This window comes from Homo sapiens, chromosome 3 (assembly GCF_000001405.40).
Source record: "Homo sapiens chromosome 3, GRCh38.p14 Primary Assembly".
NCBI lineage: Eukaryota > Metazoa > Chordata > Mammalia > Primates > Hominidae > Homo > Homo sapiens.
This window is the reverse complement of record NC_000003.12, coordinates 115,613,730-115,631,095: the sequence shown is the minus strand read 5'-3', so window position 1 is coordinate 115,631,095 and position 17,366 is coordinate 115,613,730. Positions and strand designations below refer to the sequence as shown.

Here is a 17,366-nt window from a genome sequence, read left to right as displayed (position 1 = left end):
GAGGGAATTGAACTTTGACTACATCCACCTTGTGAGGGGGACCAATAGAGCTGAGCTTGCATTTACACAAAGCCCACGCTGAATAAGTAATCAGAAATGGTCGTCTGTCCCAGAACATCTCCCCTAATGACCCATCATGATGCTCCTTCCCTTCCTACATTTATTACTTCAACAAATATTTATTGAGAATCTAAGATGTGCCAGACATAGCTTAAAATACCTGTTTTGTCTATAAGTACTTTTTAGAAAGTTTGAAGAAACACACTTTTTCTTAAAGTTCTCCTTCCATAGCCTCACCCACTAAACACTAACATGAACTGGTATTACTTAATCAGAAAAACTCTACCTGGGTCTGACAGGAGGAGAAAATAATAGAAAAACTCAATGCCAAAGAGATTGGGAGCAGTAAGCAAGATATCAAGTGAGGGTATGGCAATTGACAAATACTACTGAACCTTACCAGTTGAAGACAAACTTCACTTACAAATTATTTAGTCTTTCTGCTGTTCTCAAGGACATGCCAATTCAGTCAGAGAAAATACACTACTTAGCGTCTGGCAAGAGTGTTTTCATGGAAAACAGTGGTTGCAATTTGTTCCATGCTGGGCACAATAGGACTACTTCAGAACCCAAGTCCCTTCAGTCTATTTAAACCTAAGAAAAATCCAATTCATCTGGTACTAACATTCCTTTAACAGTCATTTGAGGGACTACTTACCATTCACCCTCCCTATACCTCCAATCATGATTTATCTTTGTGAAATATTATTATGTGGATACTTCAGACGGAAGAAAAGAAATCCAAATGAAGGTAAAATTAATTTTTGAGCACACACACCTAAGCACAGGCCAGCACTACATGCATTTAAAGAAAAAAATATTGCTACTCTTAGTTGATTTATTTCATGGATCACACAGATTGATTTACGGTCTATTTGTAAGAGTTGTGAAGCAAAGCAGTGAGTGCAAGTACTTGGAGCCTCAAAGTAAGGGCATGTGAAGATCCAGAGTTGTGGTAACCAGAGAGGGTGGGGCTGTAATGTTGGTTGTTGGACGAGGAGGACATGGAGGGGAGATAGTGCCAGCTATGAGAGTTCAGAGAAATACAGTCTATAAATGGGTTCATTTTGTGGCTGCTTTTATTAAAAACTGATGGCTGTCATGTCTATAAGTGAATAACAAGAATCACTGATGATCAGTTCCACTTTAAAATTTCATGCCAAGACATTTTTTTAAAAATCTCCTAGTGATTCTATCCATTTAGATATGCTACAGCCTGTGAAAAGACTATAAACCTGGTTCCATATTTATTTAGCAAACAGATTATTCATGGTTAACATGAGTTATTTTATGTACCAAGTATTATGGTAGAGATAAAACAAGAATTATGTTTTCATCCTTTTCCCCAAGAAGCTCACAGGGTAGACACCAGAATGTGAAAAAATAAATGTCAAATAGTGCAATAAGTGATAATAGAGATAGTACAAAATACAGCATGGGCAAAAAGAAGGTAGAAGAAAACTTAATTAGGAAGGTTAAGAATGGCTTCAAAGAGCTAACTCTTGCAGGGAAAGTGGGAATATTTCAGGCTGAGAGGGAAGGGTAACATGGGCAGAGAGTGGAGTACAAGCGAAGGCACCAAGGCCTGAAATCTTGGCATGGTGTCATCAGGTAAAAAAAAAAAAAAGAGCAGGGGGGCTGTTGGAATTTGGCACTAGAAAAGCAGGCAAAACTAGATTGTGTCATTGATGCTGAAGAGTTTATATTTTAACAAAGAAAATAACAAAACCCGATTTGCATTTTGTAAAGATAGCTGTGGTGTTATTTGCAAGGTAAACTAAAGAACAATGTGGTGGTAGAACTCCACATAGAAAGTTACTGCTTTTGTCCAGATGAGTAGTCATGAAAAGTCTGTGCCAGGTTATTTATATAAACAGGGTAGAAAAGCAGAGGATTTATTCAATCTTTTAAACAAGAATCAAGGAATCAAAGGATTTAGAAACTGGATATGGGAGTTGAAATAAAATACATTCAGGATTACTCTCAGGTTCCTAGAGCTCTGAGGCTGGATGGACAGTATCAGAGCAATAATTGTAGTGAGGAAGATCAAGTGTGATACACAACAGAAGACACTGAGTTGGGTTTTGTACCTAACAAACTTGTCTCTGAAATGAAGCACTTAGACCAAGATAACTATGGATCAGAAGCTAAAAACAGACATCTGATCTACAGATCTGGAAATCACACAGGTGGCTAAAGATTTGGATGTGGATGACCTGATGAGATCACCTAGGATTAGTGAGTCAAACGAGAAGAGTGGAATGAATGAAGATTATGATCCAGGAGATCATAGATTTGGGGAGGTGGGTGAAGAGAGCAAGAGAAGCCTATAAGGAGACTGAGCAGGGTCTTATCTGAGAGGGAGAATAAGGAGAGCTATTAATATCATGCAGACCCAGTAAGGGGACAGTTTCAGGAACAGGGATTGACAACAACACAAAATGCCAAAGAGACATCAAATAAGATGTAAAATGAAGGGTCACTGGATGTGACACCCTTTCAGAATATGTTTTTCAGTGAAATTATGAAAATCAAAGCCAAATTAAACTAGATGGAATAGTGAATGGGGAGTGAAGAAGAGGAGAAAATGAGGGTGGAGAGTACTTGGAACTTTGTTCTAAAGGGAGAGTGAGACAGAGAACTATAGAGATGGGGACATAGAGTCAGGAGAGAATCTTTTAAGATAGATGAGGCAAAAGCATATTCATAAACTATAAGGAAAGGAGCCAGTGCAGCACAAGAAGATGAAATCTCAAGAAAGAGCAGGGCATGAGGGACTGGGGCTCTGGGGAAAACACGGGGGGAGGAGCAAGAGCACAAGCAGAAGGCTCAACTAAGACTAGAAGGAACTCATCTCTAACAGGGAAAGGTAGACACAGCAGGCACTAGATCATCCTGCAAAACTGGGGCCTCTAAGACAAGCCTCAAATTGCAAAACTTGGGGAGAATAAAAATTTCTTATATTGATCTTTATTTTCACATCAAGTATGTTTAAGCCCTACAAAAATCCTTAAGGTAAGCAAAGTGTTCATTTGTGTCTGGTTTTTGGTTTTTACTCTTCATTCTACAGAAGGAAACTGAAACCCAAGGTGATGTGGTTTATTAAAGCTCACAGTCAGTAAGTGGCCTCCACTAAGGACTCACAGTATAATATTCTTCCCAACACTTCTGAAAATGTTATGAAGATTTAATTACAAAGGTACAAAAGCCACCTGACCACACTTCACAAATTGAAAAGGGAGAATTCCTGTATGAAATCACTTCTTTGGTTTGCAACAGCCACTGCTTGGTTGCCCTAATGCCTTTATTAATACTAATAGGGAAGTGAATAGTTAAATGCTGCTATACCTTCTCTTGAGATGACCTGGTTATGTGCATTCTTTGAACTATTAATAGAGGAAGACTTGTCTTACTTTATCAATACGATTGGTTAATATATATGCTCTATTCTTGCCTGAAAGAACACCAGTACCCTTCCTTATGGGGCCAGGTAAAATTCTGAAGTCTGTGGATTAATTCAGCCCCAGGAATAACACTGGCAATTTCACTATGACAGAGGCAAAGGAGACCCCAAGCCACTCTCCCTCTCGGTGAACAGGAGTACTGCCCTTTAGCTTGAAACATCAAAGGAGGTTTCTGTAGTTTTGCCAGCTCAGCAAGAAAGAAAATTAACTCTGCATTTTCTTATTCCAGTTGCCTCAGCATGGGTTGGTAGGGGAGGGGGTGGGGAAGAGAGTTACACAGACTCTGTCAGCAGGAGAGATCAGGGCTCATTGTGTATGCGCCCTGGCATGGGTTAGAAGGAATTATAGAGTCACCAGAAATGAACACTTTCTAGACTCACCATGAATTTTCTAAGGTTCTCTGCAAGTCCAGATAATTTGGCAAAAAAAAAAAAAAAAGAAAGAAAAAAGAAAGAAAATGCCCTTCAAATATTTTTTCTGTTTAAATTTGGAAACCTGTGGTGAAAATCACTATTAAAAAAAAAAAAAAGAACGAGAAGCTTCAATTATATTAAGTAAAATGGCTCAGCTTAATTAATTCACTAAGTCCCTGAGTGACACTGGGTGTGGCTCAGAGAGATTTGGGAGGAATCCAATTTATCACTAGGAAGAATCGCCTGCACCAAGCAGCAAGGCAGCATCCTTCCACACCTTCCCAACACTGCAAGGAAAGGCAGAGAGGTCGGAATTTTAAACCACAGATCACACTCTCAGAGATAAGATTTATTTGTTGCATGAGGAAAAAAGCAGATATTGGCATGGATGGGGGGCTGGGGAGTAGAGGGACTACTTGCTTGCATGAAATTCTTTACACTTCAATTACAAACTAAAGTCATTATTTTTCAACAAAAGAAACACCTCATAGTTTTCTTGCTTTGTAGACATAAATCACACCTTGCCAAGTTTTTAATCATCTGCAATACACATGGCAATTAAGCTATTTAAAGTAAGCCCCAAGATATTTGAAAATCATAAGGCAATACAATATTAGGGATTATTTTATTTTATTCCTCCTTTGCCCACTCCTTTACCATATTCTCATCTCTACCCCACTCTCATTCTCTTCTTCCTGCTATAATAATCTATAGTGATAACTAATGGCTAATAGAGATCATTTATGCTTTCTTCTCACCCACTGGCAATGTATTCCAACTTAGAAATCCAAGGTTGCTTCTTTATGCCGCTCAAGTGGAAGAGGAAGGAAGTGCAAGCCCTTCAGCCCCCCTCCCACGTTTCTGCTGGATTTTATGGGTGTGGCAGAGCTTAGACCTTTGCAGGTTTTTGCCCTTGTTTTATTCCCTGTTAAGTACTACGATGATGAATAGATGCCAGCAGAAGGATGGGCACCACTGGATTTTGTCATAAATGATACAGAATTTCATCCACAAGCAGGCAACCTGCGTGAGACTTAAGTACTCATGCTACATAAATGCCAGTCAGTGTAGTGTGAGCCCACGCCCTGAATACACCATTTCCTTTAGTCTGATTGAATGGTATCCTAAATACTGGCTAATGTGAATGATACACAACAGTGGTTTATAAGAGACATGACCATTTCACACAGAAGTACACATTTATAAAATGCATGAGCAAAGTAGGACAATTTCTATACCTTTAATTTTCTCTTGAATATAAATGATGCTAAAACACAGAGAGGCATGTGGAAACCACTTACACATGCAACTGTAGCATATGAAGTATGTGGATGCTGTATACATTTACATGCGAATTTCTACAACTCTAAACACAATTTCAGCTTCATCACTTTGCACATCAGAGTGAATGCTTGGGGCTGTTGGTGAGATAGAGCCCCAGGGAAGGCAGCTGTCTTCATTTTGGGAAGGGAATTCCTTTAGCCCTAATTCCTTTTCTAAAAATCATACATGATTTCCTTTATTAAAGGAGATGTATGTATACTTGCATATGTACACATAGGGTGGGAACAAATTATGAACCTGAATATTTTTCTTTCCAAAATTAAAGCTTTTTAAGTGGATGGCTTTGGCTTACTTAGTGCTCCACCTTCCTAAATGTTATTTCCCCAGCTCACCAGTGAAATAACCTCAGGACTTTTCTTTGACAGTGTTCTTAACCCAGACACCTGTATTTATTACATTTATATATTAAAATGAAGGAGGACACAGAGAGAAAATGCCCTGGTTTGATAAAATGAGCCAATGGAAGCATCAATCTCTGTAACCATAGGGCAGTTTCAGGAGATGCTGCAAATACCGCCCCCAACTCAATCCCCCACTATCCGACTTTTTCCCCCAAATAGCCCCACACAATCCAGGATGTCTGCTTATTTATTTATTTATTTATTTATGCCAAATCTCTACTCCCACTGCTCTGACATTCTGCTTCAGTCTCCCATCCTCTTCCTGCTCCTTCTCCTTCATCCTCACTCCCCACCCTTCCTTCCAGGGCGCTGGCTAAATGTGCTAAGCTGGCAGGCTGTTTCTTCTCCACTCTCTTCCACCCCCTTCGGATTCAGGGAGTGTATTACAAATTGCCCAATTTCCAATACCTGCACTGGAAATTATACCCAAATTCCATCTCTTGCACCCCACCCCTAAGGCAATCAGTCTGCGAAGGGCTTCTTTGACCAAGATTGCCCCCACCACACCCCCACCCCCACCACAGTCAAGCATACGCACACACTCACCCGTATCCCACACCCATTTTTCTCTTTAACCTTTGCCAAAATCACTCAAATGCATTCCAACAAATGTTTGAAAGCTTCTTTTGGAGACTGCCATGGCATGGTCGGTTGCTGCGGAATACCACACTCGTCATTCCTTCCCACTCTCACCCCAATCAAGTTTCTAAAATGTCTTTCAAGAAATAAGCGAGCAATTGGAAATGGCTGTAAAACCTGGGCAGTGGGGGAGGGAAGGAGGGGCTCTGATTCTTGCTAATCTTGGATGTGTCCCTCTTCCTGATGAAAATGAGTCACCATACTTATTATCCAGGATGTTAGCCTGTCTCTGGTCACTGACAATCCCAGGAAAGAAGCAAGGGAAGGGGATAAGAGAAAAGACCTGGTTTCCAACAGGTAATACCCGGCTGTCTTTCCCATCCCATCGGAGCTCCTAGGGGCGTGGTCCACCCTCTCCTCCGACCAGCTGGTGCACAATCGGCTGCTGATCTTAGGAAGGGGATTTTCTCCTTCTGCATGGCCAATTTCTCCCCCAGCCCCAGTTGTCTTAGCTTCTCTTAAAAAAAAAAAAAATCTATCAAATCACAGTTTCATTCATTCATTGAAAAATAAATACTAAATAAATAAGACCTGCACGTTTTTCCATAAATACCTGCGCCCCTTCGAAGCTCATGCATGCACGAAATAAGGCATCTTCCGCAGCACATGTGAGAAAATTGTATGACAGAGAGGCAATACTCAGTTCTGAATATTATTTCCTCAACCCTGCTTTTTTGCAAATAATATAAAGAAATGCCTCCCCATCTTGTAGGTAGAGCCCACATCATCTCCCCCACACCCCTTTCTACGTCCACACCCTCAAGACCAGAGACCTCAAATGCTGAGCATTCACTAATAAGAAAAAAAAAAATTATTTCTAGCCAAACAGGCATGTTTTTTCTACCCTCACCCTAATTAGTAGCAGCATTCCAAAACCAGAGCATGAAAGACAGAAAAGAATAAAAGCTGGGATGCAACCATCAGTTACCATATGCTAAGGAAGCGCGAGCACCACGGCCAGAGCAGAAGCAGTAAAAAAATTGTTTGCCTTTACGGGGAAATACTGTACTCGGGTTATTTCACAACAGCAAGAAGTAAAAAATCTTTAGCTCTACCTGTTTGGTTCTTCTCATACAGCACAGCATGGTTGTCTCGTCCCTTGCCTTCTTCCTGCCTTCTCTCCTTTCCTTCTCTCTCTTTCTTATTCCCCCCCTCTCCACCTCTTTTCTGCTCGCTTGCTCACTCGCTCTCTCGCGCTAGCGCGCTCTCTCTCCCTCCCTCCCTCTCTCTCCCTCACACACACCAGGGCAGTTAGCAGCAACTGTAAGGTCCACAGCTATTGCTCATCGCACATGCTCGCTCCCTCTCTCTAGCGCTCTCTCTCTCTCTCCCTCTCTCTCTGGTGCTCTCTCTCCGCTGTCCTCTCTTCCCTCTCTTCTCCTTTTTTCTCCTTCCCCCCAATATCTATCTATCTGTCTTTTTCTTCCCTCTCTCTCCGTCTCTTTCTCGGAATTGTTCTCTAGCCTTCAGTGACTAATCACTTCCCCCAGCCCCTACCCCCATTCTAGACAGTCGCCCCCTCCCAGTCCCCTGCCAGCCTCATGAATATTTAAACACCTCCAATCTGGACCCAATTACCCACCGACTTTTCCACTGCATTGAGAGGGTGATGGGGTGGGGGCAGAGAAGGATATTCCAGTCAATCCAGGAGATATGATAGAGCATGTTTTAGGGAAGAGGGGCTTGAGGAATCCTTGTATTTCTTTAAGAACTCTTTTCCTCTTTTCCTAGTATTATAAAAGCAAAGAACAGCTATTTCTAAAGAGGAATTGTAGTCAGTCCTATACAATATAAGTCATATCTGCCATTACATTTTATGCATAGTTAATAATTGTGGAGGTTAATTTCCCTCAAAAAATGAAATAACATGTAAATATCATACACTGTTTATATATTCTTCTCAGTATACATATAACCTGAAATAAATACAAAGCTTAGATATGCACAAGCATATTTTATATATGTTCCAATATCCTGGAAAAAAATCCACATAAATATATTGCATTTTAAACATTCTAAGCACTTGAGCTCAGAAATAATAAACAATGTTTAAGAATTGGCATCCATATCTAAAATCACATGGTAGTTTTTTGTTTTTTCCTTAATGCACATATACCTGTTTGTAAATTGTGGTTTCTTCTAATTTTACTGAAAAAGCTGAGCACATTCAAACAGGTCTGTGTAATATTGACGGTGATCAAAATGATATTTTACAATTTGGGCATGAGAGATTAAAGTGAATTCATCTGAGATGAGAAGAAACGATAAGTCATGAAGCCTACTTCTTGAATTCCTTCTATGGCCTTTCATAATTTTGGGGGAGGAACATGTGACTCTTAAAGTGTGTATAGCACAATTTTTAGTTATTTATTGTTGAATGAGTTTGAGTGTGTTACTGAAGCTCTTTGCACCTAATTTTCTCATCTTTAAAATGGAGATAATAATGCCAATCTTGACAACATGTTTTGAGGACTAAATGATATAACGCATGCAAAGCACAACAGTCTCTCTGAGTGTATAATAGCTTTACTCCAGAGACTGTACTTTTCTGAAATTCGGGTGACATTTGCAAGTGAATATCTCAAAGAAGTTTTCAAACTATTTCTTGTTGTTCATTAGTGATGACAAGTACCCCTAATTAAACAGCTCATATTCTTCATAGTCCCTCCTAGACCTCCTAGACATAAACCTAGCTAATAAGTGGCAACTAGGCAGCTTATTGTTAGGCATATTTCAGGATCACTGAGCTCAATAAGTGCTTAGTACATTTTAACATAATTTAAGGTATATCTATTTCAAAATGGACTATCTCAGACAGGTACCTGGGAACGATGGTGATGATGATACCCAGGAGGTGATATTTAAAATTAGCCTTAATTATTCCTCAGGAGTCTTCCTGAGAGTGGCCTGCTTCAGATCCGCTGATTTGGTCTTTCATTCTTCTCAGTTTGCTTCCTAGTTTTCATATTTATGATTAAAAAACAGAATTAGTTTCTGAGTTTAATAATTTTTTAATGTTACAAGGAGCCCAGCCGCTTTCAGAACAGCCTTCCGTGATTTTAAGTGATAAAAGAGGACAAAGAGTGGGTGAGAAATGGCTCCTACCAGAAACATTCCGGTTGCAGATTAGGAACACCCTACCTAGCCTGCTAGTGGCTAAAGAGCAATGAAGGGAGGAGGCAGAGAATGTGGGGATTGGGGATGATGGAGAAGAAATTGCACCTTTTGGTGTTTAAACAGGATAACTCCATTGATAAGACCATTTCATTAACTATGTGGCCAAACTTAAAGAGTGGGACTAATTCCTTTCCCTTTCGATGTACTCACCTCAGCCATCCCATTTATATTTTTCCCCCTTTATATATGGGAAGGAACCTTGGAAACAAAGTGGCATAATGAAGTTAAACAAGCTAGGGCTTAAAACTGGGCACAAGCATTGATGAACTTTGTGACTAAATATGTGAAACCACCCAGCTCAGAATCAGCTTCCTCATCAGTTTACATGCATTATTTTATCTAATACTCAAAATGAGGTAGGCACAAGTAGTAATCCCATTTTGATGGGGATGCTAAAGCTAAGGGAAGTTAAGTGCCTTGACTAAGTCACAGAACTAAGAAGTAGTAAAGCTAGGACTCTATGTCTCTTAACAACTAGGCTACATCAATCACCACTTAATAGGCCTCTACTCTTCATTACTTCTAGTCCTTAAGAGATTAAACTACATAGTGGAAGTTTTAATGTTGAAATGAAATCAGCATTCAATGTTGAAATGAAATCAGCAAGATCCATCTTTTAGGCCCAACTCTTACTTCAAGAGCCATGGAGAATAAGCTGATATCTTCATGCAATAGAGAGCCCTCTATGTATTTCTGATGAGATGTCTGCTCCTTCAACTACCCTCAGGTGTCTCAGTGTGTAAGGTCCTCACCATTTTGGATGCCTTCCTCTGGACATACTACATTCTGTCAATGAACCTTTAAAAATTACCTCCCAATTTGGAAGCCTAAGATTCCAAATTTAATTTGAATAACATGGAATCAATTCTAATGCATCTTTTTCTCTAAGCAATGGTGGTTATGGATGGCAAAAGAATAAGGGAGAGACAAGCACAAACTGATATGAGCTTTGCAAAAAATATATAAAAAATAAAATAACCGATGTCCCGATTTTTGCCAAGCAAATACACAATAGACCCACTAATCCTTGTACTTTATAACTAATCCTAGACAATGCATAGGCTTAAGCCCCATGGCTAACCCTTTTACAATTTTAGATTAGCAAATTAACTCATAATACTATCAATTAACTTCTTGACTATAGGTTAGACAATAATAACATTCTAGAAAAAGATGAAGAGTGGTGGAGGCCAGATCCCAGTTCCACGCTCAGATCTCTTTGAACTTTATACTAAAGTGATACTGCTTGTATAATAAAACCAAAAGTCACTGACCTTTACTAAGGGCTCTGTAAAATAGTCTACCATTTTAAGATTATGGCTGGTACTTGAGAGAAGACAATGTCATCAATTCAGGTAGAAAAGATGTTAGTCTTATTTCTCCCTTTTTTAAATTTTATTTTATATTTTATTTTATTCTATTTTATTCTGAGACAGGTTTTCTCTTTGTCGCCCAGGCTGGAGTGCAGTGGTGCAAACATAGCTCACTACAACCTTGAAATCCTAGGCTCAAGCAATCTTCTACCTCAGCCTTCTGAGTACACAAGCCTTCTGTGAACTACAAGTACACGTCACCACTCCTGGCTAATTTTTTTTTTATTTTTTATTTTTGTAGAGACAAGGTCTCATCATGTTGCCTAGACTGGTCTCAAACTGCTGGCTTCAAGCAATCCTCTCACCTCGGCCTCTTCTCTTATTTTTTCAGTGCTTAATCTAAGCCTTTTACTTGCTGCATTAGTTTTCTAGCATTGCCGTAACAAAATAGCACAGACTGGGTGGCCTAAAAAACAGAAATGTAATTTCTGACAGTTCTGAAGTCTGGAAGTCCAAGATCAGGCTGGTGGCTGAGTTGGTTTCCTCTGAGAGTCCTAAAGGAAGGTCCTTTCCAAACCTCTTTCCTGCACTTGCAGCTGGCCGCCCTCTGCTGCCTCTGCACATGGCATGGTTGCCCCCCTGTGTGCATGTGCACCTCTGCTCTCTGTCCCTGTGTATCGTAAGCTCCCCTTCATAAGGACACCAATCAAATTGGATTAGGGCCCACACCTATGGCCTCATTTCACCTTAATTTTCTCTGTAAAGGGTCACATTAAAGATCTCCAAATACAGTCACATCTTAAGGTACTGGGAGTTAGGTTCCAACATATGAATTTGCAAATAAGGGGGACATAATTCAACCCAAACACCTGCTTTCTCTGTCCATACTTGCTGTTTTCATTCACTTAATCTATAGTTTCTATGTTGCAAAAATCATCCTTCCCTCAAGGAAAGTCACACGTACATGAAAAGCAAAGCAAACACTGTGTGCACAAAATATGATTCAATGTCAAATGTGTTTGATAAGAATTCAAAATAGGAAATAAACCACTGTAGACTAAGATGGGCTTTTTGTTTCAGGATTAGGATTAGAATGAATAGAGAAGACATAGGAGTTTTAAAAAAGGGAAAGGGATCACATTAGAAAAGACAAAATGCACAAATAATCACTGCATGATCAAGGGACTGGCAGGATACAGAAGTGGGGGGAGTTGTAAAGGATACTGGTAAGAGACAATGTTGAAAACGTAGGTTAAAGCCAGATTAAGAGGGATCTTCAAGATCAGGCTAAGGGGATATATTAGTTTCCTAGGCCTGCTGTAACAAATTTGGTAGCTTAAAACAACAGAATATTACTTTCTCACATTTCTGAAAACCTGAAGTCTGAAATCAGTTAGCAGGGTTTTGTTCCCTCTGGAGGCTCTGAGGGAGGATACATTCCAGATCTTTCTTTTAGCTTCTGGTGGCTGTGGTCAATCTTTGGTGTTGCTTGTTTTGAAGAAGCATCACTCTAATCTCCGCCTTCGTCTTCATAAGACCTTCCCCATTCTGTGTCCCTGTGTCTTTCCGTTTTCTTCATTCTTTTTTTTTTTTTTTTTTTTTTGAGGCAGAGTCTTGCTCTGTCACTTGGGCTGGAGTGCAATGGCGGGGTCTTGGCTCACTGCAACTTCTGCCTCCCAGGTTCAAGTGATTTTCTTGCCCCAGCCTCCTGAGTAGCTGACACTACAGGCATGTGCCACCACGGCTGGCTAATTTTTTGTATTTTTAGTAGAGGACTAGTTTTGCCATCTTGGCCAGGCTGGTCTCAAACTCCTGACCTCAGATGATCCACCCGCTTCAGCCTCTCAAAGTGCTTGGATTACAGGCATGAACTACTGTGCCTGGCCCCATCTTTCTCTTTCTTAGAAAGACATCTGTCATCAAATTTAGGGCCCTCCCTAAATCCAAGATGATCTTATCTTGAGATCCTCAACTTCATTACAAATTACACCTGCAAAGACTTTTTTTCCAAGAAAGTTCACATTCAGTGGTACCAGGAATTAGGACTTGGACATAGCTTTTTGGGAGACGCAAGTCACCCCACTACAAGGGATTAGACCTAAGATTTGTGGATGGGGACATTTTAAAGAATGCCTGTGGTAACATTGTGTAGTATGAAATGGTGAGAAAGATATACTGGGGTCCTGTGAGAGAAACATATATCTGCGAGGAATCATGGAAGAAAAAGTGAACTGTCACCTGTTAAGTACCTAATATGTTCCATATACCACATATTTTGTGCTTTACATAGTTTGTTTCTTTTATCTCACAGGAGAATATCTAGGAGGAAGAGAAGAATGGAAGAACCAAAAGTTGTACAGAGATTGAACCTAGACAGCCTGGAAAATGAGAATTATAAAAGTCAGAAAGGGACCTGGTTTTGTGAGAAAGGTGATGAGTCAAGCTTGAAAGTGTTCATTTTATGAAAGCATTGACGTGTTCAAGAGCAATACAGGATCAGATGGTAAGAAACAAGAGTCAGAATTGTCTTTCTATGGGTCATTGTTGGAGCCATCAAAGGGAATTCATTTTGTGAGCTACAGTGTGCTATAGAAATCAGAGGACCAAAGAATAAACTTTGAGAAATGTTCAGGTTTCAGGAACTTAAAGACAAGATCAAGAAAAGAAGCCATCAAGGGGGTAAACTAGAGGTAACAATAGCCTAAAAAATGCTTGAGAAAGTTCCTTGCCTTTATCCTCTTAAAATGTCATTTATACATTCAATTGATTTGTCATTATTTAAATACCTGCATAAGTAAGTAAACCAGGTGTGATTTTTTAAGTATCCATAGTGAGAACTATTCAAGGAATGACACATCTCTTTCCAGAAGAAGGGAACGTTCTACATTGTGCTGTCTCAAGATGTTAATTTTAATCATCCTGAATGGAAATACTGAAATTCAAAAACCATAACAATAGCTGGTCCGAAAACAATATATCATCAAGATCCAAGATTTGAAGTAGGACAACATGGAGGTGCACTGACGTTAAACTAACATCCTCTTAGCTAAAAAGTAACAAAACAAAAAACAAAACAAAGAAAACTCCAAATTAAAATCTTTACTTTTCAGTGGTGAGATTCTTACAGCACTTGGTTTCCACACCTTCTCGGTCATAGTGGGGCATTTTCTACAGTAGAAGATGCCTCATGTGTGTCTACCAGGTGAAGAAGCAACAGCAGCAGAAATCACAAAATTAGATCCTTGCTCTATACAAATCAAGCTGAAACAATAATTATATCTAAGAATGTACTGGGAAATCTTCAATACTCCTGTGGACTTTTAAATACTTTTTAGCAGCATTCAGGGCTCAGATGACCTTGGTTTGGGACACATTTCTCAAGGTCTGTTAGCACCAAACCACCTAAATGTGGATTCCTCACGTTTGCCCTGTTCCATGGCTTGGCACCCAGCAGTACAACATTAAATAAAATCTCTCTCAGATAGAAACTTTAGAACTAGGTATTCAACTACTTGCTGTGAATACACACAGATGGCTCATAGATACCCCCATCTCAAACTAAAACTCAACTTGGCCTCTTGGCTGCCAGCTTGTTCCTCTCACTATATTCCCGGTATTAGTAGAGCGCCCCATGATTCATCATTCACCCTAGTCAGCATCACCTCCTCCTTCTCCATGACAACCACCACGCCAAAACCAACCAGTTTTCATTTCCTCCTAAATGTTCTGCCCATCTTTATCTCTGAAATATTCTTTTTTAAGTCTTTCTTCTTCAATTCCTCTAACGCAGGCCTTCAGCATTTCTGGCCAAGATTATTGCAATAACATTCTAATTGGTTTTGCTATTTTTGTATTTACCCACCATTTAGTTCTACCTTCCACACTTCACCCAGATGGATCTATCTAAAATGAAAATCAAACAACACCCTTCCCCTTCCTAAAATCCCTCTGTGGATCCCTGTGCCATAATTAGTCAGTCTCAAACTTTCAGCACACAAAAGAACCGCCTGAGGAACTTGTTAAAAATGCAGATTCTCTGTACCTCTTTAACAGATCATTGGACTTGGTAGATGGGAGGAAGTGCTTAGAATCTGCAATGTGTATAGTTATCGTTTTGGGATAAGGTTGGCACAGTGACCTTGGATCACACTTCGAGAAAGAATGGTCTGAAGAACAAAGCTCAAGCTCAAATTAATGACTCCTGATACTGTTCTGGCAGTATCTTCTACCTCTCCCCATTTTACACTTTATAATGTAAGGAAGAAGTCGTTCAATGAACACCCCATCTTGTTTCCATTCTTGAAGCCATTCTGTTCCATATACTTAGAAATCTTTACCCACTTCATATGAGTCTTGAAAACTCAGTAACCAGACAAAAAGTAAACTTCCCTGAGCAGCCTTCTCTGAACTCCCAGAAGAGACTTGCTCACCTCCTCTGGGTCCCATAACACGCAGGATACAGTATTTTAGTGGCACTTGCCACACTAATATTATTTACTGTCCTCACTCAGATGTAAGTTTTCTGTTTGCAGGGGCCCTCTCTTATTCATCTTTTTACTCCTAGCACCTGGCCTGGTGGCTGGCACATAACAGGTACTTAGCAAATATTTTCTGACCGGACCTGGATTGTTGTTCTGAGATGAGGATGCCAGGCAGAGCCTGCCAAAAGCTTCCAGGCAGACATGGCTGCATCTGGTTCCAAGGAGAGGCTTGCCTCTATGATATGATGTCACCATATTAATTAGGCTGATAGCATTTCAGTATGGCATCACTGCCAGGATTCACCCTGCTTTCTGTAGGCAGACAAGATTTCTGAAGCCAAGATCTGGATGATTTAGGGGACCCTCCAAATCTCCATCCCTCTTTCCAGACTTGTCTCAAGTCCTTTCAGAGTTCCTCCTTCCAGCACACCATGGAAGCCACCTGAATTTCTGAATAGCCAATATTCCATAACAAAGAAATCTTAGTGAGGGAGCCCTGTGCTGGTGGCACAGAAAGAGAAGATTTTCATCTATGTAGCCCATAAGCTAAGACTTAACTTGTCACTCAGCTCCAGAGGAAGTTTATGATTGAATGAACAAATCTAACTCAGTGGCTTACTAGTGCATTAAGCAGGTAAGGTGAAAAATTCCATTAAATTGCACCAACTTCCACCACCAACACACCATCACAGGCTGAAATCAAAGCATTCCATTGGGCTTAGTCACTGAAGTAGCCACAGAACTTTTTGCATACCTCTTACCTCTTTTCTATTCGCCTTTCAGTATAGTGACAGCTTGTTTACAAGCTTATATCCTGCCTAAAATGCACATTTCTGGATGGCAAGCACCATGTCTCAGTTTTTAAATTGGTTTAAATTTGTTTTTTAAATTTGTTTTAAATTTAAACAATTTAAACACCAATTTGTTGGTGTTTCCAGCAGGGATATACATAGGCCTTATCGGGATTAAAGAGTATATGATTTGGAGGGACCCTTCTTTAAGAAAAAGAATACGAGTTAAGTATGAAATGAATACTTATGTAGAATAAGGAAATAAATCACAAGTTGTATATTTTTAAACATTGATATCTATCACAAATATCACAGCATTCAGAAACATAAATGTATTATTTTCTTTAATTTAATTTAATTTTACCTTCTGGGATACATGTGCATGTTTGTTACATAGGTAAAGGTGTGCCATGGTGGTTTGCTGCACCTATCAATCCATCACCTAGGTATTAAGCCCTGCATGCATTAGCTATTTATCCTGATGCTCTCCCTCCCACTCCCCTTCTCCCAACGGGCCCCAATGTGTGTTGCTCTCCTCCCTGTTTCCATGTGTTCTCATCATTCAGCTCCAAATTATAAGTGAGAACATGCAGTGTTTGGTTTTCTGTTTCTGCATCAGTTTGCTGAGGATAATGGCTTCCAGCTCCATCTAGTCCCTGCAAAGGACATGATCTTGTTCCTTTATATGGCTGCATAGGATTCCATGGTGTATATGTACCATATTTTCTTTATCCAGTCTATCATGGATGGGCATTTGGGTTGATTCCATGTTTTTGCTATCGTGAATAGTGCTGCAATGAACATACGCATACATGTATCTTTATAATGGAATGAATTATATTCCTTTGGGTATATGCCCAGTAATTGGCATTACCGGGTCAAATGGTATTTCTGGTTCTAGGTCTTGAGGAATCACCACACTATCTTCCACAATGGTTGAATTGAACTAATTTACATTCCCACCAACAGTGTAAAAGTGTTCCTATTTATCCACAGCCTCACCAGCATCTGTTGTGTCTTGACTTTTTTTTTTTTTTTTTTGAGATGGAGTCTCGTTTTGTTGCCCAGGCTGGAGTGCAGTGGCGTGATCTCGGCTCACTGCAAGCTCTGCCTCCCGGGTTCATGCCATTCACCTGCCTCAGCCTCCCAAGTAGCTGGGACTACAGGCACCCACCACCACACCCGGCTAATTTTCTGTATTTTTAGTAGATACGGGGTTTCATCCTGTTAGCCAGGATGGTCTTGATCTCCTGACCTTGTGATACGCCCAACTCGGCCTCCCT

At 40.0% G+C, this 17,366-nt stretch overlaps 1 protein-coding gene across 2 annotated transcripts in view, besides 1 other annotated feature; it reads right to left on the bottom strand.

The window, feature by feature from the left end:
* The window catches only part of GAP43 (growth associated protein 43), a 97,974-nt gene extending 90,388 nt beyond the window's left edge, over positions 1-7,586 (bottom strand). For both annotated transcript variants that reach the window (NM_001130064.2, NM_002045.4), the window contains exon 1: positions 7,377-7,586. Coding sequence is in view for 1 of the 2 variants with exons in the window: in NM_002045.4 (NP_002036.1) it covers positions 7,377-7,406 (30 nt within the window). In the remaining variant the exon portion in view is untranslated. The remainder of the gene's footprint in view (positions 1-7,376) is intronic.
* Positions 15,548-16,099: an enhancer, noted in NCBI's record as "OCT4-NANOG-H3K27ac hESC enhancer chr3:115333844-115334395 (GRCh37/hg19 assembly coordinates)". NCBI's record gives its function as "activates a minimal SCP1, AML or CMV promoter by ChIP-STARR-seq in naive H9 embryonic stem cells {active_cell/tissue: H9 hESC(naive)}" and the evidence as "EXISTENCE:reporter gene assay evidence [ECO:0000049][PMID:30033119]".